The sequence below is a fragment of the Homo sapiens genome, chromosome 1, assembly GCF_000001405.40.
Source record: "Homo sapiens chromosome 1, GRCh38.p14 Primary Assembly".
Classification (NCBI taxonomy): Eukaryota; Metazoa; Chordata; class Mammalia; order Primates; family Hominidae; genus Homo; species Homo sapiens.
This window is the reverse complement of record NC_000001.11, coordinates 38,838,198-38,865,767: the sequence shown is the minus strand read 5'-3', so window position 1 is coordinate 38,865,767 and position 27,570 is coordinate 38,838,198. Positions and strand designations below refer to the sequence as shown.

At 41.6% G+C, this 27,570-nt stretch overlaps 2 protein-coding genes and 2 long non-coding RNA genes across 10 annotated transcripts in view, besides 2 other annotated features; 3 read left to right on the top strand and 1 right to left on the bottom strand.

The window, feature by feature from the left end:
* Window positions 1-3,278, top strand: part of GJA9-MYCBP (GJA9-MYCBP readthrough) — a 19,137-nt gene extending 15,859 nt beyond the window's left edge. For all 5 annotated transcript variants that reach the window (NR_037637.1, NR_037636.1, NR_037635.1 and 2 more), the window contains one exon: window positions 1,054-3,278. This is a non-coding gene — a long non-coding RNA (GJA9-MYCBP readthrough). The remainder of the gene's footprint in view (window positions 1-1,053) is intronic.
* MYCBP (MYC binding protein) overlaps window positions 1-3,278 on the top strand; it is a 10,889-nt gene extending 7,611 nt beyond the window's left edge. The window contains exon 4 of one of the 2 annotated variants that reach the window (NR_037632.1): window positions 1,054-3,278. Coding sequence is in view for 1 of the 2 variants with exons in the window: in NM_012333.5 (NP_036465.2) it covers window positions 1,054-1,098 (45 nt within the window). In the remaining variant the exon portion in view is untranslated. The remainder of the gene's footprint in view (window positions 1-1,053) is intronic. The other variant, NM_012333.5, reaches the window with a different exon arrangement.
* Window positions 1-5,875, bottom strand: part of RRAGC-DT (RRAGC divergent transcript) — a 16,334-nt gene extending 10,459 nt beyond the window's left edge. Inside the window, exon 1 of the long non-coding RNA NR_186075.1 lies at window positions 5,529-5,875. This is a non-coding gene — a long non-coding RNA (RRAGC divergent transcript). The remainder of the gene's footprint in view (window positions 1-5,528) is intronic.
* Window positions 5,707-6,466: a silencer, noted in NCBI's record as "silent region_689". NCBI's record gives its function as "represses an Ori minimal core promoter by ATAC-STARR-seq in GM12878 lymphoblastoid cells {active_cell/tissue: GM12878}" and the evidence as "EXISTENCE:reporter gene assay evidence [ECO:0000049][PMID:35858748]".
* Window positions 5,777-6,071: an enhancer, noted in NCBI's record as "tiled region #3933; HepG2 Activating DNase unmatched - State 1:Tss, and K562 Activating DNase matched - State 1:Tss". NCBI's record gives its function as "activates a minimal TATA promoter and a strong SV40 promoter by Sharpr-MPRA in HepG2 and K562 cells {active_cell/tissue: HepG2 | K562}" and the evidence as "EXISTENCE:reporter gene assay evidence [ECO:0000049][PMID:27701403]".
* Window positions 5,996-27,570, top strand: RRAGC (Ras related GTP binding C). 2 transcript variants are annotated; one of them, NM_001271851.2, is made up of 7 exons: window positions 5,996-6,358; window positions 8,788-8,889; window positions 9,861-10,060; window positions 13,280-13,394; window positions 14,011-14,153; window positions 19,681-19,829; window positions 26,064-27,570. In NM_001271851.2, exons 1-7 carry the CDS (start codon window positions 6,122-6,124, stop codon window positions 26,213-26,215), a joined length of 1,098 nt encoding a protein of 365 aa, NP_001258780.1. In that variant the 5' UTR covers window positions 5,996-6,121; the 3' UTR covers window positions 26,216-27,570. The 2 variants fall into 2 exon arrangements, with proteins under 2 accessions (NP_001258780.1, NP_071440.1); NM_022157.4 differs by having other exon boundaries at window positions 8,686-8,889.

The following is a 27,570-nucleotide window of genomic DNA, read 5'->3' as shown; positions in this document are numbered from 1 at the left end:
TGCAGTGGTGCAGTCATGTCTCACTGCAGCCTTGACTTCCCAGGCTCAAGTAATCCCCCCACCTCTGCCTCCTGAGTAGCTGGGACTGCAGGCATTTGCCACCATGCTCGGCTAATTTTTAAACTTTTTGTAGAAATGGGGTCCCATTATGTTGCCCTGGCTGGTCTCAAACTCATGACTCAAACGTTCCTCCTGGCCTGGCCTCCCGAAGTGTTGGGATTATAGGCATGAGCCACCTCACCCAGCCAGTTTTTTCTTTTTTCAAAGTCCTGTGAGAATTTTCATGAACTTCAAATTAGTCAACTCTTAAGTCTTTCAGGTCTTACCACATTCTTAATCACATAATGTATTTTACATTACTCTAAGTATTTCTCATAATATATTTTATCTTCTCAACAACTTTGTGAGATAAGTGAAACAAGTACACAAGCCACTTTATAGGTGAGGAAACGAAAGCACAGTGAAGTCTAATAAGCTTCTCAACTCCAACAGGTAGTTGGCAGAACCCTAATGTTAGCCTAGTGTTCTTGCAAGGAACCACACTTAGCATAAAAGAAAATGCAGTTATTTTAAATTATCCAAGATTCCACAATGTGTAGTGCTAGTTAACTCTTTGGAACCTTTTAACTCAAAGACATTAGTAGTTGTTTATTGGCTGGTTAAGTTAAGACATGTCACTTAACTCTTTATCTACTTTTCAGTGGGTATTTTCAGTAAACTTTTGCTGGAGAGGAAGAAAGTTCCTTATAAGCAAATGAATCTTTGGGAAGATATAGTTTATTGCATATCAAGTATTTGAACAGTGCAGTCATGAACTGGAATGAAATTTTAGTTTCAAAGCAATTTTAAAGGTTTATATAAAAAGGGCTTTCATTAGATTTGATTGTATTAAATCTTAAATCACTGAATGATTTAAAATGGATAGTTATAGAAACTGATATTAATACAATTTACTGACAGTAACTAAGTTGAATATAACAGTTACCTTGTTTTACTATTTTTTACTCAATTTAGAATAAAATTCACCTAAATTCCTCTGTCTTTGCCCCATAGCTTGCTCAGTATGAACCACCTCAGGAGGAGAAGCGTGCTGAATAGGATTCTTCTCAGTTTGAAAGACAATGAAAAATGGTTTTGTATGACTTGAATAGTTTGTATAGTATATAATCTTTTCTGAACAGATGCTATAGAACTCTTTTAATATGTTTAATTCACCTATCACACTCTGTTAAAAACACATAGAATCATCAATAAAAACTCAATATAACTTTCTTTGGGTCTTAAAGCAGGAGAATCCAAAGTAAATCCTGAACAAAACCTAAACACAGCCATCTAACTCATTACCTTAAAAGACATTCTGTTTATTAGTCTGATTAGGAATGATGGCACTGGTTGTATTTTAGCCAAGACAGTTTAGCATGGAGCTATTCCTTGGTGCAGTTCAGGATATGAACACAGGTACAGTCATTCTTTGAAGGTGACACTGTTCTGTATATTCCCTATAGGCAGCTGGAGAGATCTGTGTGACACAAGATGCTTTTGTACGGGTTCCCATGAATCTTCTGCTCTTGTTTGTGTGACATGGAACAAATAACTTCTTTGCCACCACTTTGCCTTAGATAACTGTGTGTGTGTGTGCCAGTTTGAACTCTGACACCACATTTTCCTTCTATGCAATCATGCCTGTCTGATAATCTTGCATTGCTTTCCTCTGAGCTTTAGTGGGTCCTAGTTGCACACTGGCCTTTCTGTGCTGTTTTTCAATTTGCCTAATAATAGCAGTTACCCTGATTGTAATTTATGTAACTTTAAACAGGATCACACTGTACCCCCTGCCTGCCTTATTTGCTTACTGAGCACAGGACAGAGGCAATATACAACTCTGGGTTCACACACAAGCTGAGATGAGAAGAGGAATGAGCCATATATTGGGGAAAATCATAGTTTGTAGGTATAATTATATAGTGCTTTTCTCCCTCAAAGTATTTTTCTAGCCTTGAATTCATTTTATCTTCATTATCCCTGTGAAGTAGGTGGGACAAGTATAAGGGGAAGAGGGGTGCTGAATTTTTAGGCCAAAGACTGATATTAATACAAATCACTCACTAACTGTAGAGCCTTGGGCATTATCAGTGAACTACTCTGAGATTTACTGTCTTCATCTGTTTAATGAGTAGAATGTCCGTGATGCCTACCTCACAGGGTTGTTGTGAGGGTCAAATGAGAATGTATGTGAAAGATTTGTAAATGGTAAAGCACTATATTCTTGTTTGTTAGTCCTTTTTCCTTTCTTTGGGTAGACCTACAGTCAGATGTTTTGTTTTATGGATCACTTATTTTCCTTACTGGTAGACTGTCGTTTTATAGACATATTCCTATTTCATATATTCTCTCCCTGTTGTTAGAGAACCTATCTTTGTTTTTGGTCAAAACACACATAGAAAACAAAATGATCCAATGAAAACTGGTTTAACTAGCAAAAGCCTTGGCACCTGTTGGAGACTATGACCAAGCCAATAAAAAGGGCATTTAAATCAGCCCTGTTAGTAGGAATGTGGCTATGGCTGGTGCCTCTTCTAGTCACAAGTTTGTTTTTGGAGGGGGTCCAGAAGATCATTCCCTTGCATAGATTTCTCTTTTACCAATTTGAGTGCCTCCTACATGGGCAGCAGTGGACTAAGTGCTGGGTGTGATAAAGAGGAATGACTTAATTATGAGACTGTATATAATCAAATACAGTGTGGGTTAGGACCTGTGGCAGACCATTATAATAAAGCATGGCCCCGTGAGGGTTTTGAAAGAGAGAGAGACTTGGCTTCCTTAGTTGGTATGATAGTTTCTTGGTAGATACAGGTTGAAAATTTTTTGTGGCAGCCAATCCTCATGGGCTTTTTACTCATTTGATTAGTATTAATATTTATGTCAGTAAGCCAGGTGACTGTGACTGTCTTTGGTACCATCCTTTTTGAACAGAAAGGCAACATGTGGGTTGGATAATCACACTTTTAGGTGAAACTGACTTGCTTAAACTGTAACAGTCAGTGCTATTTAAGAATTCAGGATAAGCTTAGCCTCTAGAGGTCCTCTTCAACATTTCTGTCAAGGATTTGGATGAATACAACAAGATGCTCCATGGAAGAGAAAATGGATAAATGGATCCCACCAGTTAAGCTCCTATTATGCTTCAGCTGCTTTGTCTATAAAATATCGACTTCACATCTTGCCTATCTCACAAGTTGGTTGTAAGAATCAAATTAAATATAATGGATGTAAAAGTGCCTTGCAAACTGTAAAGGATTACATACAGACCAGATGGTGGTAGTGCCAAATCTGTAAGTGACACAAATTGGAAAGTCTGGTTGGAAGACTATATTGAAACAAGCTTTAAAATGATTAACCACGTGGAATACCCAAACTGCTGGGCCTAAACCAAAAAGTTGAAGTATCAAGTCTTACATTTAGGTTAAAAAATGCAGTTATACACATTTAGGCACTAGGATTGCTGACAAAGTATTAGTTACAGTGATTATCAATGTGACCCACCCTATGGATGCTTAAAAAAAATTACATTCTGGAAAGCAGGAATAGAAATACTGTCTAGGTGTTAAATGGTCATTCTGAAAGTTGTACTGTTTAGTATTGCTTTGTAGGAGTCAGATGTTTGATGGATATTGACAAGCTGGAATGCATATAAAGAGTGACCAATAGAGGATTTGAATATATAAGGCTGGGCTCTCCGATTTGGTACACACTAGCTGCAAGTGGCAGTTAAAAATTTAAGTTCCTGGTGGGGTGCCGTGGCTCACACCTGTAATCTCAGCATTTTGGGAGGCCATGGAGGGTGGATCTTGAGGTCAAGAGATAGAAACCATCCTGGCCAACATGGTGGAACCCCGTCTGTACTAAAAATAAAAAAATTAGCCGGGTGTGGTGGTGGGCACCTGTAGTCCCAGCTACTCAGGAGGCTGAGGCAGGAGAATCGCTTGAACCCGGGAGGTAGAGGTTGCAGTGAGCTGAGATCGCGCCACTGCACTCCAGCCTGGCGACAGAGCGAGACTCCATCTCAAAAAAAAAAAAAAAAAAAAAAAAAAAAATTCCTCAGTTACACTAGCAACAATTCAAGTGCTTATTCCTCATAGGACTAGCGGCTACATGTTTGACAGTGCAGATAAAGAACATGTCTATCATGTATATCAGTTGTATTGAACAGCACGATAGGAATGGTTGAAACTGAGGATGTTCAGCAAGGAACAGAGAAGACTTAGTGGGTAATGAATACTGCAATCTGGTATTTGAAGGGCTGTCATGAAAAAGGTGAAGACTATTCCTATTTTATTCTATTATAGGCTTCAGGGAGTGTGGTTTGGCTTTAAGACTTTTTTTTTTTTTTGAGACGGAGTCTCGCTCTGTCGCCAAGGCTGGAGTGCGGTGGCGCGATCTCGGCTCACTGCAAGCTCCGCCTCCTGGGTTCAAGCCATTCTCCTGCCTCAGCCTCCCGAGTAGCTGGGACTACAGGCGCCCGCCACCACGCCCGGCTAATTTTTTGTATTTTTTTAAGTAGAGATGGGGTTTCACCATGTTAGCCAGGATGGTCTCGATCTCCTGACCTCATGATCCGCCCGCCTCTGCCTCCCAAAGTGCTGGGATTACAAGCGTGAGCCACCGCGCGGCCGGCTTTAACAATTTTTAAACAAAGGTTTACCACAGTGGAGTTGGCTGCCTTTCGAGATGGTGAGCTCTTTTACCTTCGAACTATTTAAGTGCATTCTGCATGTCTATTAGACACTATAGAGTTGGTTCGTTTTAGGTGAGAGGTTGGGCTAGATGACCTCTAAGGGTGTATCCTACCTCTAACTTCTGGGTTCAGACAAAACCAAAGTCCCAGACCTGCCCGCATGTGCGAATTTTTCCTTCATAATCAAGAAGTCAGTCTCCTTGGAGGGCTGGGAGCACCCCCACTCCTGTACTTTAAAAAGTGTATAGGGCTGTGCTTTAAGAGGATCCTCTTCTCAAACTTCCAGTTCTAGAGCCTGATTATCAAAAATAAAAATTCCTCTAGATTTCTCGGACATATTTGGTGACAAGCATTTGCTTTTGTTTGCTTTCATTATTCAATACTTTGGTCTCTAATCTGAACGAGGTCATAGAAGAGGCAGTGTTCTATGGGGGATGGAATTCCTAGAGTAGACTTTGACAAGGCGGGAAGGAGGGCAAATTGAGTCCCGTTGGGTTTGAAGTGGCAGCAGTATCCACTATCGGCGACTTACTGAAGAAAGAAGATAAGATGTTCTAGCTTGGCTGCATCTGCTTTCCCATCAGGGTCCAGCTACCTGCTAGAACAAACTATCACGGTGACCCATGACTCTGCCTTGGTTGAGGTTTGCCCTCAGTGTGGCTGGCTCCCCCATACCTTTGCACATCCCAATCTATCCATCCACCTAGATCTGCTCAGACGCTTTCTCATTCAACTCCCGAGCATTATTTATCCGTGACCTTCCCACATAATATTTCGTAGCGAGGTTACTTACGCAGAGGTCCGATCTCTCTGTTCATCTTCAAGCAACCTGAAGGCAGGCAGGGTCTGCGTCGGATCCAGTTCTGTGCCCCTTGGTAGGCACCCAGGACACTGCAGGCATCAATAAATATCGGTTGGGCAAGTACAGTTGCAGGATGAGGACAATCAATTCTTCCTCAAATGCCGGGAGAGCATCTCCATAGCGGTGCTCTGGGAGCCCGGAAGAAGGCAGGGGAGCGGTGCAGACAGCGTTGTATGCGGGCCGGGGCGGAGGGCTGAGGGCCCGAGCCGGGGCTAGAGGCGCGGCCGGGCCGCCCTCCTCGTGACTCCTCCTCCCCCCTCCGCGGCTCTGAGTCAGGTGATTCCGGCACGTGACGGGGCACCACCTACCCTGCTGCTCTCGAGTAGCAGCTCGGGCGGCCAATAAGCGGCTGGGCTTCGGCTCGGGGCCTATGAGAGCCGGGCTCCGGGGGGCGGGCCGGACTGTGGCGGCTGCCGGGGGCGGTGGCGGTGGTGGCGGCGGCGGCGGAGGCGGACTGGGGAGGCGGCGGCCTGGCTCGGCCTGGCCTGGCCTGTCAGGGCGCGGGCGGCGGCGGCTCCAGCACCATGTCCCTGCAGTACGGGGCGGAGGAGACGCCCCTCGCCGGCAGTTACGGCGCGGCCGATTCGTTTCCAAAGGACTTCGGCTACGGCGTGGAGGAGGAGGAAGAGGAGGCGGCGGCGGCGGGCGGAGGGGTTGGGGCAGGGGCAGGCGGTGGCTGTGGTCCGGGGGGCGCTGACAGCTCCAAGCCGAGGATTCTGCTCATGGGACTCCGGCGCAGCGGCAAGTCCTCCATCCAGAAGGTGAGCAGGGCTGCGCCCAGTCCCCCGCCCCCTCCCCGGTTCTCAGGTGGCCGGTAGCGGGGACGCCCGGGAGGGCGGCGGCCGGGGCCCGCCTGCGCTCCGTCCCTCCGCACTTTCTCTTCCACTCTTGCGAGCGCACAGGCGCGGCCCGCGCGGGGACCCCGACCTCTGTGTCCACGCCCAAGTCAGCTGAAGCCAAGTGGAGCGCTGAAGGCGAAACTGGTTGCCGGGAGGCAGGTGCCCGGTGGCACCGCCCAAGACCTCCGCCCCCTGGGACCCAGCTCCTGTGTCATTTACGAAACTGAGACGTACTCTCCAGTTCTCACTTGGAGAACTTCGTGGACTCCCTCCCCTGGCCCGTTTTGATTTGTTCTCACTTCAGGTGACCTGAGTGTTTCGGGATTCCCAGCAGAGCCCCAGGGAGCAGCGTCAGGAAGAGTTGTGACTAAGACACTGGGCGTTGTAATTCTCGCTACTGATGTGAAGGAGACTTCGCTGTAGCATTACTGGGAATTGGGTAGTGAGATTGCACCCATTTCAGTAGTTGTGGCCTGGTGAATGTAATTACTGGTGCTGTTCCCCCTGTAGGGGTGTGTTTTTAAAAATCTGAGACTTTGAGAATATTTTGCAGACCTAGTCTGTTTGTTTTCACTTTTGGGCCTTCATGAACAAATGGAGGGCTGTACACGTTTGTTTGTTTATGTTTTTGAGACGGAGTCTCTCGCTCTGTCGCCCAGGCTGGAGAATGCAGTGGTGCAATCTCGGCTCACTGCAACCTCCACCTCCCTGGTTCAAGTAATTCTCCCGCCTCAGCCTCCCGAATAGCTGGGATTACAGGCGCGCGCCACCACGCCCGGCTAATTATTGTATTTTTAGTAGAGACGGGGTTTCACCATGTTGGCCAGGGTCATCTCGAACTGCTGACCTCAAGTGATCATCCGCCTTGGCCTCCCAAAGTGCTGGGATTACAGGTGTGAGTCACCACGCTGGCCTACACTGTTTAGTGAGGGTTAAATAGAGGCAAGGTTGACTTCCTCCATCAGCCAAACCCATTATACGCGGAGTGAGCTGGTAATAAAACTAGTATCAGCAGGCACCTGGTCTTTTCACCTCTCCACTCTGTTGCAAAGGCCTATCCAAAATAAATCTGTGATTTTTTTTTCTTTCTGAATCTGTGATATTTTGTAGATGGGATCTTTTTAAAAAGCAGCGTTCTTCCAGGTTTGCTGGAGTACTGTGTTTTATTTACCTTGATTTTCACCTCTACAGCAAAACTTGGGTACGTTGACTGTAGGTTTTTAGTAAACTAATTTCAGTTATTCACATTTGTTACTGAGAAAACCTTGAGAGTAATTGTTCACTTTTCTCTTCTAGACAGTAAGAGGCAAAGTAGTTTTATGTTAGAACTGTGTAGGTTGTGATTATTGTGATCCTTTTTTTTTTGTTTGTTTGTTATGGAGTCTTGCTCATCGCCCAGGCTGGAGGGCAGTGGTGTGATCTTCACTCACTGCAGCCTCCACCTCCTGGGTTCAAGTGATTCTCCTGCCTCAGCTTCCCAAGTAGCTGGGACTACAGGCGTGCACCACCACGCCCGACTAATTTTGGTATTTTTAGTGGGGATGGGGTTTCACCATATTGGTCAGGCTGGTCTCGAACTCCTGACCTCAAGTGATCCGCCCGCCTCGGCCGCCTAAAGTGCTGGGATTGAAGGCGTGAGCCACCGCACCCGGGCCGATTATTGTGACTCTTAACAATTGCCTTTACGTTTCTTTTCTCATGAGAGCTATCTTTTCCCTGTCAGTCCCCGTGGCCTCCCCCTGGACGTTTTCACTTTCTACTTGGTATAGTTACTGCCCTTCTTAGACTGCAAAGTCAGTGAGGGCAGAGTCCAGTCTGTTTCACTTTTTAAATTACTCCTCAGAGCCTGAGGTAGGCATTCAAGTAATTTTTGAATAAACCAGACTTCTTAAGCTTTAGCTGTAAGACTTTTATAATCTTAAAGCAGATTTTGGTAGAATTAATGTTAGCTTTCCCCCAGAAAAACTAATGGAGGTGATAGAGATTGCTACTATTAGTACTGAGTATGGTGCATAGAACATAGGAGAAAAGATTTAGCTCCAAAATAGATTTAATGGAAATTAATTTGGTGTCTTCTTTTGTCAAAAATAAAGGGATAGTGAATACCAATGGATTCACCATTCAGTTTCTACTTTTCAAAAAAAATTTTTTTTTGTGGGATCAAATGTTTAAATGTTAAACCAGGGTGGAATTTTAAATTTAAATTCTGAAGTTTAATAGTCATAAAATTGCCTGTTTTCTTTTAACAGGTGGTGTTTCATAAGATGTCACCCAACGAGACCCTCTTTTTGGAAAGTACCAACAAGATTTATAAGGATGACATTTCCAATAGCTCCTTTGTGAATTTCCAGATATGGGATTTTCCTGGGCAAATGGACTTTTTTGACCCAACCTTTGACTATGAGATGATCTTCAGGGGAACAGGAGCATTGATATACGTCATTGACGCACAGGTAGTCAGTAATGTGTTTACTCCTCTTTCCTGGTGGGAAAAAGATGTAGAAACAAAGGAAAGTTGTTTATCTTCTTTGTCATGTGGTTGCAGCTTATCTCTTTGGCAGTAGATTCCCTAACAGTGTAAGAGATGCAGTTGCAGAGTGCTTTGGGAGCAGACATGCATTGTGCAGGTACAGAATATCAGATGATTAGGAGATATGGTTTACATCCTTGAGTCCTAGTTGATGAGCAGCTAACATTGGCTTTCCACTTTTATTGGTTGCCATATTTTATAATAATTTTATAATAATAGTGATGTTATTCCCTGAAAATATCCCATCCCATAACATAAAGAGGAATATGAGAACTGAGTCAGTAGATATTAGAGTGAATAGTTTACTTAATTGTCAAAATTGAGTTTAGCTCAACAAACATTTATGGAGGGCCTAGCATGTGGCAGTCAGTGAGATGAATGGGGCAAGTCCCTATCCTTTAAGAAGCTTACTTTTTATAAGCTTAAGCATTAGTTAAGAATGCTTTCTGAGTGATAGGCTCTACAGAGGGTGCCTTCACGTACAGGACCTAATTAATTTAAGCTTCACAATATTGTTAGGTAGGTATTGTAATTCTGATCTTACAGATGAGAAAACTGAGATCAGAGTTTAAGCAGCTTGCTTAAAGTGACACACTGAATAAATGGCAGAGCTGGGATTACTTAAAAAAATTATGTTGGGAAAAAATGTTCATATCATTTTTTTCTTTCTTAAATTAATATTAAAAATTACAAGCATTAACTTGGTAATTGAATTTTTTTATCTTGAGACAATTGAAGAGTTATTTAGTAGTATAGTATATTTGAATGTTTGAATATTGATGATAATTAGGATAGTATTTTTCTGTGGTTGGGGAAAGAGGTGGTTTGAGGCTTTAACTCATTACTTGGCTTTTGTAAGATTTATTTTAAAAAATATTTTGTTCTGACTTACAGGATGACTACATGGAGGCTTTAACAAGACTTCACATTACTGTTTCTAAAGCCTACAAAGTTAACCCAGACATGAATTTTGAGGTTTTTATTCACAAAGTTGATGGTCTGTCTGATGATCACAAAATAGAAACACAGAGGGACATTCATCAAAGGGCCAATGATGACCTTGCAGATGCTGGGCTAGAAAAACTCCATCTTAGGTAACAACATGTGTGTTTGATATGAAAGCCCTGAACAAGGTGTAAATGTATTCCCATCTCTGTCATTACAAACACCATAGCTTTCTGCTACCTGTGTGCCCTTTGCCACATCTTTTATGTTTTTGATCTTGTTGTTGAATTCCAGGCTGTCTGGGGAGCCTGATATTGAGAAATTACCCACTTTTTGCGTTTTCCTGGAGATTGAAGTCATGTGAAGTGTTTCCACTGGTGCTTTTCCAAATTCATCTCAAGAGACTGGAGTCAGGCTGTTTCTTCATGGCATAAATCTGCTTTGGGACTCCTTCCTCTTGGTTTCATTACTTTTCCCCGCCTTGCATCAGTGAAGTGAATCTGTCACATTTGTTGTGGAAGTCTTTAGCTTGAGTCTTAGACAGTATCTTTCTCAGTAGGAACAGCCTTATACAGAGAGTGCACTTTCAAATCTGGACTGACTCTTTTTATTTTTCATTTTTATTTTTCCTGCTGGCTCCCTTCCACCTCCCCCCTGGACTGACTGTAATATATCTTAGCTTTTAAAACACTTTATACTTTTATGAAACTCTATAAAGTTTGGCTTAGGTGGGTTTATCTTATAAATGTGCATAAGGCTGCTATTAAATTTAGAGGACTATTGGTTTGTAACTACTGTTAAGAAATTATTATTAAATAATACCTACTTGATAGGATTGATTTGTGTATTTGCATTCTAAAAGTGTATGAGGAATATTTTTGTACATCTTATTTTATTTGGTGATATAGGTAGAAATGAGTATTAAAAAGTACCCAAGAAAATATTCTCTTGACGATAGAAGTAGCTTAAAGAGGGAGAAGGGGAGAGAGACAGCAAGTTATTTCTCTGTCCCCGTTCTATTGTTGTGACTTCTTTATGGGCTCAAGCTAACTGCTATCCCTCCCCCTAAAATTCTCTGGGTCTCAGGCTCCAAGATCTTTCAGTTATTCTTCTAGGAAACCATGTCGAAAAGTCTCATTGACCTCTAGTTTGCCTGGATTAAATTTCTAAATAATTTGAAAATAATTCATGTTAAAAAAATAAAAATTCAGCAATGTTTGTAGGAGAAAATGTAAGTGGCTCTCCACAAAAATTCAGTCTTATTTTTTTGGGAATCCACTGCTAATAGTTTTTTACCTGGATTTTGAGCCGTTCTTGTCCTGTGTTCCCCAGTGCTCCATGGGGATCCTTCTGATTCTCTTTACTCCGTGTCTGTGTTCCTTTCCAGGGCATCCCACCCTAGTGGTACATGCCATCCCTTTCCTCAGTACCATGTAGGGTCCTAGACCTTGTTAACTTCAGTAGAATGTTGCATCAAGCTTTTATTTAGGCCAGGCATAGTGGCTTATGCCTATAATCCCAGCACTTTGGGAGGCCGAGGCAGGCAGATCACTTGAGGCCAGGAGTTTGAGACCAGCCTGGCCAACATGGCGAAACTCCGTCTCTACTAAAAATACAAAAAATTAGCCGGGCATTGTGGTGTGTGCCTGTAGTCCCAGCTACTTGGGAGGCTGAGAGAGGAGAATCGCTTGAACCCAGGAGGTGGAGGTTGCAGTGAGCCAAGATCGTGCCACTGGACTCCAGCCTGGGTGACAGAGCAAGACTCCGTCTCAAAAAAAAAAAAAAAAAAAAGACTTTTATTTAGTACTAGCAGTCCTATGGATGAAGCTCCTTTTCATTTCCAGTTTCTAGAAACTCAGTTTACTAAAATGCCCTGTGACTTGCAGGTTCTCCCTGTCCCCATTTACCTCAAGCCTCAAAGGTGCGGGACATTCTTTCTTTGCTCACCTTTTGGCCTACAGGAAACACTAAAATATTCCTTTCTCCCTAGTATCTATGGGGTCATCTTGGCCTTACCTGTTCCAGTGCTCTTACATCTAGATTAGACCCCTGTCTTGCTAGATTAGGTTCTTAGGTCAGCTCCTTGAAAGTATTTTTTTTTTTTTTTTTGAGATGGAGTTTCACTCTTGTTGCCCAGGCTGGAGTGCAATGATGCCATCTCGGCTCACCGCAACCTCTGCCTCCCTGGTTCAAGCGATTCTCCTGCCTGAGCCTCCCAAGTAGCTGGGATTACAGGCATGCGCCACCACGCCTGGCTAATTTTTTGTATTTTTAGTAGACATGGGGTTTCTCCATGTTGGTCCGGCTGATCTCGAACTCCCGACCTCAAGTGGTCCACCTGCCTTGGCCTCCCAAAGTGCTGGGATTACAGGCGTGAGCCATCGCGCCCAGCTGAAAGTATCTTTAAATTACCTATAAAGTTCTGTGTCTCTGATGTTATATATACGTATAAATGTGTGGTGGATGCGACTATATAATGAAGATTGTACTCCCTGAGTTATAAAGCAGATAGAATTGTTGACAGTGTTTAAATTGTTAAAGGCTTCCCTCTCAAATACGTGTTTTATTGAATCTACATGTGTTACTTCTCCACCGTAAGTCCTTTTAGGCCTCCAGACTCCTGTAGATTCCTCCATTCTCTGTAGAGTCCCGACTCCCATCCTGTTTAATATGCTCTTTACATAAATTGTAAACACCAATTGTATTCATTTGTTTATTCAGCAGATACTTATGAGCACTGTTCAGGGAAGTGGGCTTGCTGCTAGGAGCGAGACTGACAAAGTCTCTTTCCCCTGGAACTTAACATTTTCAGTGACACAGCTCAGAAGCACCTAAATGAATGTATAGTATCGTTTTAAGTACTTACCAGTGGTGTGAAGAAAAACAAATTAGGGGAAAGGGGTTGAAAGCCTTGGGTACACGAGTGCTATTTTAGGTAGGCTGGTCTGGAAAGAACTTTTTGAGGTGACATTTTAGTAGAAACCTGAATTATGTTCTTATTTAATAAATGTCACATAACTCTTCTAGTTTTCTCGGTTTTAGTCTTATTTTTGGTCTCAGTTATGTGCTTAAAAAAAGCTTTTTGGATCAGATTGCAAAGACTTCGGTGAATATTGGAGTTTATGTACCTGAAAATCCTTTTCTCAGTACTACTTCAGTTGCCCCCTGTGTAAATGCAGTAAAGAGATGAAGCCAGGTGGGAAAGTGTATTTGTCATCTTGAGTGATGGGTATGGTAGACAAGATAAAGAGGCTTTATTGAACTCACTGAAATCAAATGTTAAGAAACTTAAAATTTTATGTATTATAATAGTTGTCATAGAACATAAGGTATTTTTCAAATTAATCAAGCTATGTTGTGTTTTTCAGCTTTTATCTGACTAGTATCTATGACCATTCAATATTTGAAGCCTTTAGTAAGGTGGTGCAGAAACTCATTCCACAACTGCCGACCTTGGAAAACCTATTAAATATCTTTATATCAGTAAGTGAGCAATTTATATTTAATTCACTGCAGCTTCTGATTCCATTTTTGGGAATATATTTGTGTTTTCAAATTTTCCAAAAAAGTCTTGAATTAATCTGTATCAAGTACAAAGACTAGTGACCCACTTAACATGTAAAATAAATGATAACATATTATTCAAGTTATTTTCTGAATTCTTAAATAGATGTTGATGTCAACGTGTAATTCTTTTATGGTTTGTAAATTGCCACATAACGCCTTTCTTGATAGCAAAGTAATTCAAATCAGAGATGGTTTATATTAATAAGAGGATTATTGAAAATGTAGCATTGCTTGATTTTTAGAGATTTTTGTTAAATTTTTTGTGATGTCTTAGAAAACAATTCATTTGAGTAAAGAGGAAGAAGAAGATTTGACTTAGGAAATTGTGTCAGTAAATCAGAGTAGAGAAATAATTCCTCTTTCATTCTTTGGATAATAGAAGAGTCTCTCAAGCAAGTGCTATTTGTTTTTTGGTATTGGGTTATATAATTAAAAATGACCTTGGATGTTATTCAGTAATTCTAGATCTTCGATAAGTTGTAAATTGTGATTCTTAAAAAATACTGAACAGTTTCCCATTTGTTTTTCCAAGAATTCAGGTATTGAAAAAGCTTTTCTCTTTGATGTTGTCAGCAAAATCTACATTGCAACAGACAGTTCCCCTGTGGATATGCAATCTTATGAACTTTGCTGTGACATGATCGATGTTGTAATTGATGTGTCTTGTATATATGGGTAAGTTATGTATATATTCCTGCAATATCTCAGACAGGCGGAAAACTATTAACTTGATTTGTTCAGAAGACTAATTTCTGAGGCCCCTGGCAAGTGGTACTACATGAACTGGGATTGTTCTGACCATAGTGCTTTAACTTGGAGCATGATTTCTCTGGAAGTTGGCTGCTGGGTCTTACTCCTTCGGAGAATGGCTAAGAAAAGTTGGAAAGCATGACTAGAACTGGACTTGTTTATCACTGCAAGTTTCTCCCACTGTTGTGGGGATGGGGGAGGGTTGCACTGTGTCTTCTCACTACTGGAACTTAGTTAGATTGAAAAACTAGATTAATTTAAAATGGTCTGAATAACAAAGTAAGTTCTGGTTCCTGATTTAACCTCAGGCTTTGTGGAATTAGGGATTCTTAATCTTTCAGAGAGCAAAGAAAGTAATTAGAATTTTGGATGTTGGAAGAACTTATAAAAATCTGACCCATATATACAAGTTTCCAAAATAAATCTCTAAAATTTGAGCTCCTCCTTTATGTAAATTTGCCAAACTCGCTATAGAAATTTATGAAAGCCAGCCAGCAAGTGATTTTGTAGAATAGGCCAGAGGACTGGTGAAAACTTTGGAGAATTACTGGCTTTTCAAAAGCTGATAATGGCCAGGTGTGGTGGCTTGTGCCCATAATCCCAGATGTTTGGAAGCCTGGGGTGAGAGGATCGCTTGGGGCCAGGAGTTGGAGACCAGTCTGGGCAACATAGACCTCAGCTTTACCAAAAAAAAACAACAAAAAAAGAGTTAATAACATTCTCTGTACCCTCTGACTTCCTAGATTCCCCTGGTATATTAACATCAGCACTCTCAAGTTGCTTTTCAGATGTTTTAGCATTATCTTTGCTTTCTACTACCTGTGTCTTCTCTCTGCTCCATCTAGTCTAAATATCTCTTTCACCTCTGACTCTGCCCTTCATTTTGGTCTTTTGCTTAATTTCTCCAGCTGCCTCTGAGTAGGAGAGTACATTTGTCTTACCTATTCTATATCTGTCTATTCCTTTAACTTTTATGATTATATGCTCTCTTTTGTTATTTATTTATTTATTTATTTATTTATTTATTAAACGGAGTCTTGCTCCGTCGCCCAGGCTGGAGTGTGGTGGCGCGATCTTGGCTCACTGCAAGCTCCACCTCCCAGGTTCACGCCACTTTCCTGCCTCAGCCTCCTGAGTAGCTGGGACTACAGGTGCCCGCCACAACGCCTGGCTAATTTTTTGTATTTTTAGTAGAGACGGGATTCCACCATGTTAACCAGGATGGTCTCGATCGATTTCCTGACCTTGTGATCCACCCGCCTCGGCCTCCCAAAGTGCTGGGATTACAGGTGTGAGCCACCGCACCTGGCCTTTTTTGTTTTGTTTTGTTTTTTGAAAAAGAGTCTCGCTCTGTTGCCCAGACTGGAGTGCAGTGGTGAGATCTCAGCTCACTGCAATCTCCGCCTCCTGGGTTCAAACGATTCTCCTGCGTCAGCCTCCCGAGTAGCTGGGATTATAGGTGCCTGCCACCATACCCGGCTAATTTTTTATATTTTTGGTAGAGATTGGGTTTCACCATGTTGGCCAGGCTGGTCTCGAACTCCTGACCTCGTGATCCACCCGCCGTGGCCTCCCAAAGCGCTGGGATTACAGGCATGAGCCACCATGCCTGGCTTGTTTTAATTCTTTACATAATCAAAATGAGACATTGTCAGTTTATTATATATTTTAGGATAGTTTCATATTTCCCACTTCTAATTTAAACAATGGATGAGTAGAACGTTTGCTTTTTCTTTAAAACAAATCAAAATTTCATAAACCAACTTTTTCATAATACAAAAATCAAATTTAACTGTAAAATTTATTTTCAATGTTAGATACATGTTATTTATTTTATTTATTTATTTTTTTGAGACAGAGTCTCACTCTTGTCGCCCAGGCTGGAGTGCAGTGGTGTGATCTGGGCTCACTGCAACCTCTGCCTCCCGGATTCAAGCAGTTCTCCTGCCTCAGCCTCCCGAGTAGCTGGGATTACAGGGGTGCACCACCACGCCTGGCTGATTTTGTATTTTTAGTAGAGACAGGGTTTTACCATGTTGGCCAGGCTGGTCTCGAACTCCTGGCCTCAGGTAATCCACCTGCCTTGGCCTCTCAAAGTGCTGGGATTACAGGCGTGAGCTACCACTCCCAGCCAATACATTTTAAAATACCTTATACATAATAAAGTACATTATATTAGCTGGATGTGGTAGTGTCCACCTGTAGTCCTAGCTAAATTTGGGGGATTAAGCAGAAGGATGAGGCAGGAGAATTACTTGATCCCAGGAGTTCCAGGCTGCAGTGAGCTATGATTGCATCACTGCACTCCAGCCACGGGTCACTGCAGCCTCAATCTCCTGGACTCAAGTGATCCTCCCACCTCAGCCTCCTGAGTAGCTGGGACTACAGCCGCACACCACACCATACCCAGCTAACCTTTTTTTTTTCTTTTTTTTTTTTGAGACATGGTCTGTCACTAAGGCTGAAGTGTAGTGGTACAATGACAGCTCATTGCAGCCTCTGCCTCCCAGGCTCAAGTGATGCTCCTGACTACAGGCGTGTGCCATCATGCCTGGCTGAGTTTTGATTTTTGTGGAGATGGGGTCTCACTATGTTGCCTAGGCTGGTCTTGAATTCCTGGACTCAAGTGATTCTCCTGTCTTGGTTTCCCAAAGTGCTGGGATTACAAGTGTGAACCATTGCAGCTGGCCTTTTTTGTTTTTTTAATTTTACTTTTTTGTAGAGACAGGGTCTCATAGTGTTACCCAGGCTGGTATCGAACTCCTGGCCTTAAGCAATATTCCCGTCTTAGTCTCCCAAAGTGCTGGGATTACAGGCATGAGCCACCACTCTTGGCCTGCCTTGGCATTATTTTGATTAAGATTAGCATATTTTCCTAATAGTCTTAAAAACTGTTAAAACAGATAAATGTAGAAAGCAGATCTTATGCTTTACAGATTCTGAGCAAGCATTTTAAGGTCATTAACATATTTTTATTCTTAATTTTATTAATCACAGCCAAATCAAGTCACTCTAATCTCCAGACTTTGAATAGAATGTGCCTTTCTTATTTCTTTCTCATGTTAGTGTGTGATTCAAGATCATATGCTGGCTTGACATTAGGAGCTTTATAGTTTTTTACAGTTGCTGGCTGTGGGTACTGGTTTAGGGAATCATCTTTAGGGTTGTCTATGTTGGAACCTGTTGTCAGAGTTAGTTCTTGTTCTCACTTTCCATGTGGCACAGAAAAAGATCTACATGGGGCATCTTAACTATAAGCTGAGAACATGTAGCACTTATAACTTCCTCTTCTCCAATTAGAAGGAAGTAGTTTTCTTCTATACTCTTAAAAGCAAATGACACCAACTTCCCCTCCACTCTGCCGTCCCAAATTAACTTTATATTAGTTAAGGTACTGGAAACTGCATGGAATTGAGTTAAAAACCCTAAGTTTGAGTCCTGACTTTGCCAGGAGATTACTTCATTTTTAATGAACTTCAGTTCCTACCTTTTTTTTTTTTTTTTTTGAGATAGGGTCTCTGTTGCCCAAGCTGGAGTGCAGTAGTGAACACAGCTCACTGCAGCCTCGACCTCCTGGGCTCAAGCTGTCCTCCTTCAGCCTCCTGTGTAGCCAGGAGCACAGGCGTGTGCCACTGCACCTGGCTAACTTTTGGATATTTTTGTAGAGATGGAGTCTCACTTTGTTGCCCAGACTGGTTTTGAACTCCAGGGCTAAAGTGATCCTCCTTGGCCTCCCAAAGTGTTGGGATTACAGGTGTATGCCATGTGCCTGGCCTCTGTATCTTTTCAATGGGCATAGTCCTCTTGTATTTATGTAGTTTACTTTCGCTTGTTGCAGAAAGGACATAATGTGGTTAAATAGGGCTATAGTAATAATTCGTGTCCTCAGGGTTGTTGTGAGGATCAAAGAAATGTATGAGAAGGTAAACTGCAAGGTTCAGAATAGTAAAAATAAGCCCCCACTTCATGAAAAAAAAAATACACGGAAAATATAGAGAAATGAAAATAGGAGTAAAGAGCCACTACTCAAGTCAACCACTAACAACTGTTTTAGTGTTATTTCTGTCACCTTAAAATTGTGTGTGTGTGTGTGTGTGTGTGTGTGTGTTCTTGTGTTGCCTAGGCTGGTCTTGAATTCCAAAGCTCAAGCATTCCTCCCACCTCAGCCTTCCAAAGTGCTGGGATTACAGGCATGGGCCACCATGCCAGACCCCAAATTTTTTTTGACATTATGCTTATGCTACCATATGAGAACACAAATTGTAAGGCTTGGAATAGTTTAAAAAGTAAACCTCACCCCTATTCATTAAAAACTGCATGGAAAATATAGAAAAGTGAAAATAGGAGAAAAAAGATACATTGTTTTACTGCCAAAGAAAATTACCAGTTACTCCTGACATTTTCTTTTCCTTTTTTTCTTTTTTTTCCCTGAGACAGAGTCTTGCTCTGTCACTCAGGCTGGAGTGCAGTGGCACAGTCTCAGTTCACTGCAACCTCTGCCTCTTGGGTTCAAGCGATTCTCCTGCCTTAGCCTCCCGAGTAGCTGGGACTACAGGTGTGAGCCACCATGCCCGGCTACTTTTTATTTTTTATTTTTTAGTAGAGATGGGGCTTCACCATGTCGGCCAGGCTGGTCTCGAACTCCTGACCTCAAGACAGGTGGCCCGCCTCAACCTCCCAAAGTGCTGGGATTACAAGTGTGAGCCATTGCACCCAGCCGACATTTTCTTTTTAGTATATTTCCCTCACCTTTTCTGTTTTTGAAGGCAAATACTTTTAAAAAAGCATTTTTAATAACTCTTAATTCGTAACAATAGCTAGATAACCTTTAGATTTTTATAGGCAAGTACATCAGAAAAGACTCTTGAGTCCGTATCTCTTTTTAAAAGTTGTTGATTTCAACATAGTCCCTGCTAGTCTCTAGCTGAGACTGTTCTTGTTTAGTCTAAGTATTTTCTTGCTTTTGTGAGGAAGCAAAAAATATGTTTTCTGTGAAAATGTGATTGACCTGGCAAATAGAATATGCCTCGAAGGAGCTCATCTAAGTGAGGCGGCAGGTCCCAGAGGTCCCTGTTACCTTAGGGCAGTAAAGAGAGGAGACACCTCAGCTGGGTTTACAGAACACAGTCTAGGGGGTGAGTAGCCCCACCTGGTGAGATGTTGGTAACGTTGTCATTTCCCTGGTTAAGATATACATATGTTTGCACCTTTTTCTCCAAATGTCTGATTATCTATATTAAAGGATGTGTATGGAGTTGTTGTTTTTAATAGGTATCCCTGAAATTCTGTGTTTAGGAACACTATACCTTAACAACACTCTCTCCCAATATGTTTAAGCCAGTATTCTTTCCCAGAGACATTTGGGAAACTGGGTGGATGTCATTGTGCAGATTAAATGTGGCAGATGCCTAGATGGGAAACCTGTAATGAATAGTACTTTCTTTTAAAATAGGTTAAAGGAAGATGGAAGTGGAAGTGCTTATGACAAAGAATCTATGGCAATTATCAAGCTGAATAATACAACTGTCCTTTATTTAAAGGAGGTGACTAAATTTTTGGCACTGGTCTGCATTCTAAGGGAAGAAAGCTTTGAAAGAAAAGGTAATAGCATTTTAAAAAGCTGTTTTTATGTTAATTTCTTTGCCATAACTTCTCAGGTTCTTGAAAACAAGTGAAAATAATAATTGCAGTGTTAGACAAATAGCTATCAGAAAAAAAAAGCTCAAACTGCTTTTGTCCCTTTCCTTCCATGTATAGTCCAGACTTTCTCTTTTCTTTTTTTGATCTTTCATTTTAAATCAAGATTTTAATTCTAGCTTTTCTGCGTTCAAATGCTTTCATTACCTGTTTAACTGAATGCAGTTTGGCTTCCATCTGAACAAGTCTACTGAAACTAGACTTTTATTTATTTATTGTTTATACTTTAAGTTCTGGGATACATGTGCACAACGCACGGGTTTGCTACATAGGTATATATGTGCCATGGTGGTTTGCTGCACTCATCAACCCGTCATCTACATTAGGTATTTCTCCTAATGTTATCCCTCCCCCAGCCACCCACCCCTGACAGGCCCTGGTGTGTGATGTCCCCCTTCCTGTGTCCATGTGTTCTCATTGTTCAGCTCCCTACTTATGAGTGAGAACATGCAGTATTTGGTTTTTTGTTCCAGTGTTAGTTTGCTGAGAATGATGGTTTCCAGCTTCATCCATGTCCCTGCAAAGGACATGAACTCATCCTTTTTTATGGCTGCATAATATTCCATGATGTATATGTGCCACATTTTCTTTATCCAGTCTGTCATTGATGGGCATTTGGGTTGGTTCCGAGTCTTTGCTATTGTGAAGAGTGCTGCAATAAGCATACGTGTGCGTGTGTCTTTATAGTAGAATGGTTTATAATCCCTTGGGTATATACCCAGTAACAGGATTGCTGAGTCAAATGGTATTTCTGGTTCTAGATCTTTGAGGAATCACCACACTGTCTTCCACAATGGTTGAAATAATTTACACTGCTACCAACAGTGTAAAAGTGTTCCTATTTCTCCACATCCTCTCCAGCATCTGTTGTTTCCTGACTTTTTAATAATCGCCATCCTAACTGGCATGAGCTGGTATCTCACTGTGGTTTTGATTTGGATTTCTCTAATGACCAGTGGTGATGAGCTTTTTTTCATATATTCGTTGGCTGCATAAATGTCTTCTTTTGAGAAGTGGCTGTTCATATCCTTTGCCCACTTTTTAATGGGGTTGTATTTTTCTTGTACATTTGTTTAAGTTCCTCGTAGATTCTGGATATTAGCCGTTTGTCAGATGGGTAGATTGTAAAAATATTCTCCCATTCTGTAGGTTGCCTGTTCACTCTGATGATAGAAACTAGACTTTTGGAAGTTACCAGGTTACCTCCTTCCTGCATTCAGTGGCCTTTTCTTACTCTGCAGGCTTTTCAATCTTCTAAGCATGTGATCTTGTCAGTCCCTCCTTTCTGAAAACTTTCTTCTCTCTTTGCTTCTCTGAAGCTGAATTCTTGGGATATTTTGTGTGTTTGTTTTCCCGACCACCTCTCCTGTTTCTTCTGTTTTTTTTTTTTTTTTCCTCAGTCCTGTTTGTCAGAGCCAAGTCTTTCTGCTTGCGTATTTTCTAGGTCAGCTCATCAAATACATGGCTTCAGTTAATCTTCTCTATGTGATTGAAAAATTCACATCTCCAGCTATGACTTGGGATCATGCTCTCGTCCCATGTTTGGAGCTATTAGTAAGACGTTCTCTCTTAAATATTGTGAATGTTACCTTCAACGTCATGTCAATCATTGGTTGATGAGTATTTCCCCTGTTTTGTGACTCTCGTGGCTGTCATACTTCTGTCACTAGTTACGCGAGTTTCTCCTGTCCAAGTGTAGATACCTTGTAGTTAGGTAATTGTGTGGTGTGATTGCTGAAGGGGCCCTTGCAGATTGGTTCACAGAGGAGATTTCGTGATCTCCTTTTTCTATTCTTCTATGTTGTTTATATTGAATTTTCACCAAATCTGATCATTTGTTTCTTGTAACTGTTACTTGGGTTTCCTTTCCATTTTCACTGTCAGTGATTCCACTCCAGGTTCTCATTGCTTCAGGCCAGTGGTGCTGCAGTAGTCTCTTACTTGATAATATTCATGTAGTTGACATATATGTGGAGGGTGTAGTATGTGTCATCTTTTATCCCAAAGGCAGATTAGTTTTCAGAAAATTTATTTTATATTATTTAACTACTCAAGGATCTACAGTAGCTCTGTTATTTACTGCAACAAGTCCTTCCTCTTCTACCTGAGTTTTTTTTTTTTTTTTGAGACAGTCTCGCTCTGTTGCCTAGGCTGGAGTGCAGTGGCGCAATCTCGGCTCACTGCAAGCTCCGCCTCCCGGGTTCACATCATTCTCCTGCCTCACCCTCCCGAGTAGCTGGGACTACACATGCCTGCCACCACGCCCGGCTACTTTTTTGTATTTTTAGTAGAGGCGGGGTTTCACTGCGTTAGCCAGGATGGTCTCAATCTCCTGACCTCGTGATCTGCCTGCCTCGGCCTCCCAAAGTGCTGGGATTGCAGGAGTGAGCCACTGCGCCCGGCCTGAATTTTTAATGGAATAGTTCAGATATACACAAATTTTTGGGTAAATCAAAACATGTATCTTCACCTTTCAGCTTAAGAACTAAAATGACAAATACAGTTAAAATCTTTTTTTTTTTTTAAGAGACAGAATCTTACTCCATTGCCCCAACATGATCATAATTCACTGTAGCCTCAAACTCGTGGGCTCAAGAGATCCTCCCACCTCAGCCTCCTGAGTAGCTGGGATTATAGGCTCATGCTACAGGATACTGGCTAATTTTAAAATATTTTGTAGAGATAGGATCTCTCTCTCTTGCCCAGACTGGTCTTGAACTCGTTGCCTCAAGCAGTCCTCTTCCTTCAGCCTTCCAAAGTGCCGGGATTATAGATGAGAGCCAACTGCCTGGCCAGCTGAAGTCTTCTGTGTGTTTTTCTCAATTGAAATCCCTTCCTTTGAGCTATGTGTATTTTATTTTTCTTATTTTTTCACTTCATGTCTATCCTTAAACAATAGAGTATTGTATAAATGATATAAAAATATAAGTAGTCTTCTGCAACTTGCTTGATTCTTTTCCTTCAGGTGGTTTTTGAGATTTATTCAGATTGATGACACGTAGTTCTAGTTCATTCCTTTTCGCTGCCATATAGTATTCTACAGGTTGACTATACCACATTTTATTTTCTTGTTGCTGGACATTTGGATTATTTTAAAAATTTCAAATCTGTAACAAATGCTCATGAACAAGTTTAAGTTTGCCTTTGCACGTGTGGAGAATTTCTCTAGGGTATGCCTTTAGGAGTGGAATTTATAGAGTACCTATATCTTTTGACTAATAAAGAGATTGCCAAACAGCTCTCCAAAGTGACTTTACTATTTTCATCCCTGGCTGGCACCGGTCTGTGGAAGTTCTTATCACTTCTTGTCCTTAATAATGCTTGGTATTGTTAGACTGTTTAATTATTGTCAATCTGGTAGGTGTGAAAGGGTATCTTATTTGATTCTCATTTTTACTTTTTAAATTACTGGTTAGAGCAAGTGTCTTTTCATGGCAAGTACCTTTTCATGGCTATTCAGGTTTCTTCTTTCACATTTTACCTGTTCCATATATATTTATCTTTTTTTGCACTGATTCTTAGCAGTTCCTTATTTTTCTCTATGTTAGTTTATTTGTTTATTTATTTTTTTGAGATAGAGTCTCGCTCTGTCACCCAGGCTGGAGTGCAGTGGTGCGATCTCGGCTCACTGCAAGCTCCGCCTCCCGGGTTCATGCCATTCTCCTGCCTCAGCCTCCCAAGTAGCTGGGACTACAGGCGCCCGCCTGCACGCCTGGCTAATTTTTTGTATTTTTAGTACAGAAGGGGTTTCACTGTGTTAGCCAGGATGGTCTCGATCTCCTGACCTCGTGATCCACCTGCCTCAGCCTCCTGAAGTGCTGGAATTACAGGCACCCGCCACCACGCCCCCAGCTAATTTTTTGTATTTTTAGTAGAGATGGGGTTTCACTGTGTTAGCCAGGATGGTCTTGATCTCCTGACCTTGTGATCTGCCTGCCTCGGCCTCCCAAAGCGCTGGGATTATAGGCGTGAGCCACCGCGCCCAGCCTATGTTAGTTTATTTTTTTATTTGTGTTTTTATTTTGAGATGGGAATCTTGCTGTGTTGCTCAGGGTGGTCTTGAACTCCTGAGCTCAAGCAGTCTTCACACCTCAGCCTCTCACATAGCTGGGATTACAGGTGTGCATCACTTGTGCCTGGCTCCTAACCATTTTAATCTTAAAAAAATTTTTTTTTTTAGAGTGGGTGTGGTGGCTCACACCTGTAATCTCAGTGCTTTGGAAGGCTGAGGTGGGAGGACGCTTGAGCTCAGGAGTTCAAGACCAGCTTGGGCAAGATAGCAAGACACTGTCTCTACCAAAAAATTAAAAAGTTAGTTGGGTGTGGTGGCTTGCACCTATAGTCCTCTCTACTCAGGAGGCTGAGGCGGGATTGCTTGAGCACAGGAGTTTGAGGTTACAGTGAGCTATGATTGTACCACTGCACTCTAGCCTGGGTGTCAGAGTGAGACCCTGTCTATAAAAAAAAAAAAAAATTTTTGTTTATGGAAATTTTCAGGTGTATACAAAGGTGGAGCAGCACGAGGAGTCCCTATGCATTCAGCTCCTGGGTTCAGCCCTCATTCCCACACACTTCAATCATGTTTCCTGGAGAGCTTCTCAGTTATTATAGATTATTAAGCTTTTTTATTTTATTGTGGAAACTGTCAAATATATAAAAAAGTAGAGAAAACAGTATAATAAAAGCTTTTTAATCCATTGCCCAGATTCAGTAGTTATCAAAATTATAGCCAATTATGTTTCATATTTATACCACTTTCCCTACTGGATTATTTTGAAGCAAAGGCCTGACATGAAATCATTTTGTCTCTGCAGATTTCAGTAGGTATCTCTAAAAGGTAGTGGTTTTTAAAACAATAAACAACAAAATTAACAGTGACTTAATGATATCAAATATCTGGCCAGTGTTCAAATTTCCTTGATTGTCTTTTATTTTACATTTGGCACAGAAATAAATTTTAATGTAGTTGAATTGATCAAAACTTGTCTTTTATAGTTTGTTTCTTTTCTGAGTCTGAAGGTCCACCTTAATTTGGCTGTAACCTACTTATTCAGACCTGATTCTTAGTATTTCCTACCAAGAGTTCTCTGATGTCCCACTCTCCAGTCAGACCATTTTTTTTTCCTGTCTTCCACCTGTGCTGTATTCTCATGGCCAGGTCCCTGCAGTTTTCTTGTGATTTTGTTCCCCTTTTCTGCCTAATTAAATCGTGTCTGTATTCCCCAAGTTCTTTCTTGTCCCTGAAGTTTTCAGTTGATTACTTTGCCCTGCACTTGGCTTTTTCTTTGGATTTCCTTCACAGTTGTAGTCAATTTGACACCAGATTGTTTTGGTTTGTTTCTTGTATTTTGGCTTTATGCCTCAGCTAGCATATCCTGTCTGGAAGTCATGGACCATATCTGCTGTTTCCTTTGACATATTGTACCCTCTATCGTGCTGTGTAATAAGTATTTACTGACTTTCATCAAATCAAATATAAACTATTGAAAGATCACACTATGTTCAAGCAGGCCACACAGTGTATTTGAATATTTTACTTTTCTTGAATGTGAATTGAGTGATTTGAAACTTGGATGCCAGAGGTATTAATTTGGCCAAGGTGATGGTCTAATTGCAATCGCATTTGTTTTCTAGCAGAACGTTATGATGGTGGATATATATGATGACCAGCTGTTCTTTTTTTTTTTTTTTTTTTGAGTTGGAGTCTCGCTCTGTCACCCAGGCTGGAATGCAATGGTGCAATCTTGGCTCACTGCAAGCTTTGCCTCCCAGGTTCACGCCATTCTCTTGCCTCAGCCTCCTGAGTAGCTGGTACTACAGGTGCCCGCCACCATGCCCGGCTAATTTTTTTTGTATTTTTAGTAGAGACGGGGTTTCACCGTGTTAGCCAGGATGGTCTTGATCTCCTGACCTTGTGATCTGCCCGCCTCGGCCTCCCAAAGTGCTGGGGTTACAGGCGTGAGCCACTGCACCTGACCGATGACCAGCTGTTCTTACGATTGAAGAAGTTGCTATCTAGTTTGGAGGCTTAAGAATTTCCAACCAGTGTTTATCCGAGTTATTTTTGGCTGCAAACCCAAATATAAAATTTCACAATTGACAATTCAGGAGGCATTCTTTTCTTTTTCCTTCCTGCAGGTTTAATAGACTACAACTTCCACTGTTTCCGAAAAGCTATTCATGAGGTTTTTGAGGTGGGTGTGACTTCTCACAGGAGCTGTGGTCACCAGACTAGTGCCTCCAGTCTGAAAGCGCTGACACACAATGGCACGCCACGAAACGCCATCTAGTCTGAATCCCAGCGTCGGGGCTCTGTGCCAGCTTACTCTTCACTCCAGGGTCGGATGCCACGTGCTACAGGACATGGGAGCTGCTGCTTGTGGGAATCTGGTGCCTGTTCCACTAGAGACAAGGGGTAGAGTTTCTCATTTGGATGAAAACCCCTTCAACTGGTGGTGTACAACTGAAGCTACTATATCTTTTTTGAAAATGGCAAAAAAAAAAAAAAAAAATTCTGGAGACCACAGAACTCAAGTGTGTGTTTCTCCTCTTTTGGGTCCCCTTTAAGTAGTTGGGATATTTTGGACCTGGAGATAACACCAGTTACCCATCCTTACCAGGGAATGTTGCCATCAATTCCAGTTGAAAATAATAGAAAAGACTGAATTTTTATATGCTTCACTTAGGCTTTCATTTGAGTAGACTCTAAAAATTCTGCCTTGCTTAAGTTCTAACACTGCCTCTCAGATTTCAGTTTTGGACATTGCACAACTAAGACCTTTTAAATGCATTTGCTTGCTAACTCGGAAGACACATAGTCTGCAGCAAGACATTCCTATATTGAAGAAATGAGAGAAAATTTTATGCTGCATCAGGTGGAGAGCAAGGCTCAACGGTGGTTGCATTAGTTCCCTCGGAAGTATTGAAAAAACTTTGAAATGGAAGAAAATTTTTGCACCTATGTTCTGAGTACCAGATGTCTGGGTTCTTTCTTCTGCATTAGATAAATGATCATGCTCAGTGTAACAAAGGGAATTAAAAGTTTTCCCACAGTCCCCTTCTAGGGGAGAAACTCATTGTGTCACTGAAATGTTTAGCTTACTTTAATCTTGATATCAGCCTCTACAGACCTTTTATTCTAAGCTATCGAGCTTCTTGATTGCATTTGGTTGACCACGAGTGACCCTAAGGCATTGGGGGACTGTCCACTGGGAGTTGGAGTGAGCACGTGGTGCTGCAACAGGCATTGTTTTACATACTTTGTCTCTAGTATTCTGACACCAAGTGTCAACTGTGGTACTTTCTTTGCCTAGGATATGAATTCATAATTGTTGCTTTTGTTGATGGTTGATACCCTTTCCATTGATTTAAACCTAACACATTATTTCTATTCCACATGCCCAGTAGACATATATTCCAAAGCCACTGGACCACTTGAGTACATAAGTGCCACTGTTTAATGCAATATGTATATTCAGGTCTGTAAAGCTAACAGTGTGACTTGGAGTGCTTCCTGCAGGTGATTCTGACTTGAGTATTTACATGGACCATGGTGATATCCAAAAGAAAAATGCTTTTTATATTTATAGATTATTTCATTGAACTATATATGAAATGGGTATCAATAAATGTATTTACTCCAAAA

What these genes read in the sequence shown, in the direction of transcription:
- RRAGC (NM_022157.4), top strand. Translation starts at nt 6,122, where the DNA reads ATGTCCCTGCAGTACGGGGCGGAGGAGACGCCCCTCGCCGGCAGTTAC. An exon ending in CTAGAAAAACTCCATCTTAG is followed by an intron (nt 10,061 to 13,279) that starts GTAACAACATGT and finishes TGTGTTTTTCAG; the next exon opens with CTTTTATCTGACTAGTATCT. An exon ending in TATTAAATATCTTTATATCA is followed by an intron (nt 13,395 to 14,010) that starts GTAAGTGAGCAA and finishes TGTTTTTCCAAG; the next exon opens with AATTCAGGTATTGAAAAAGC.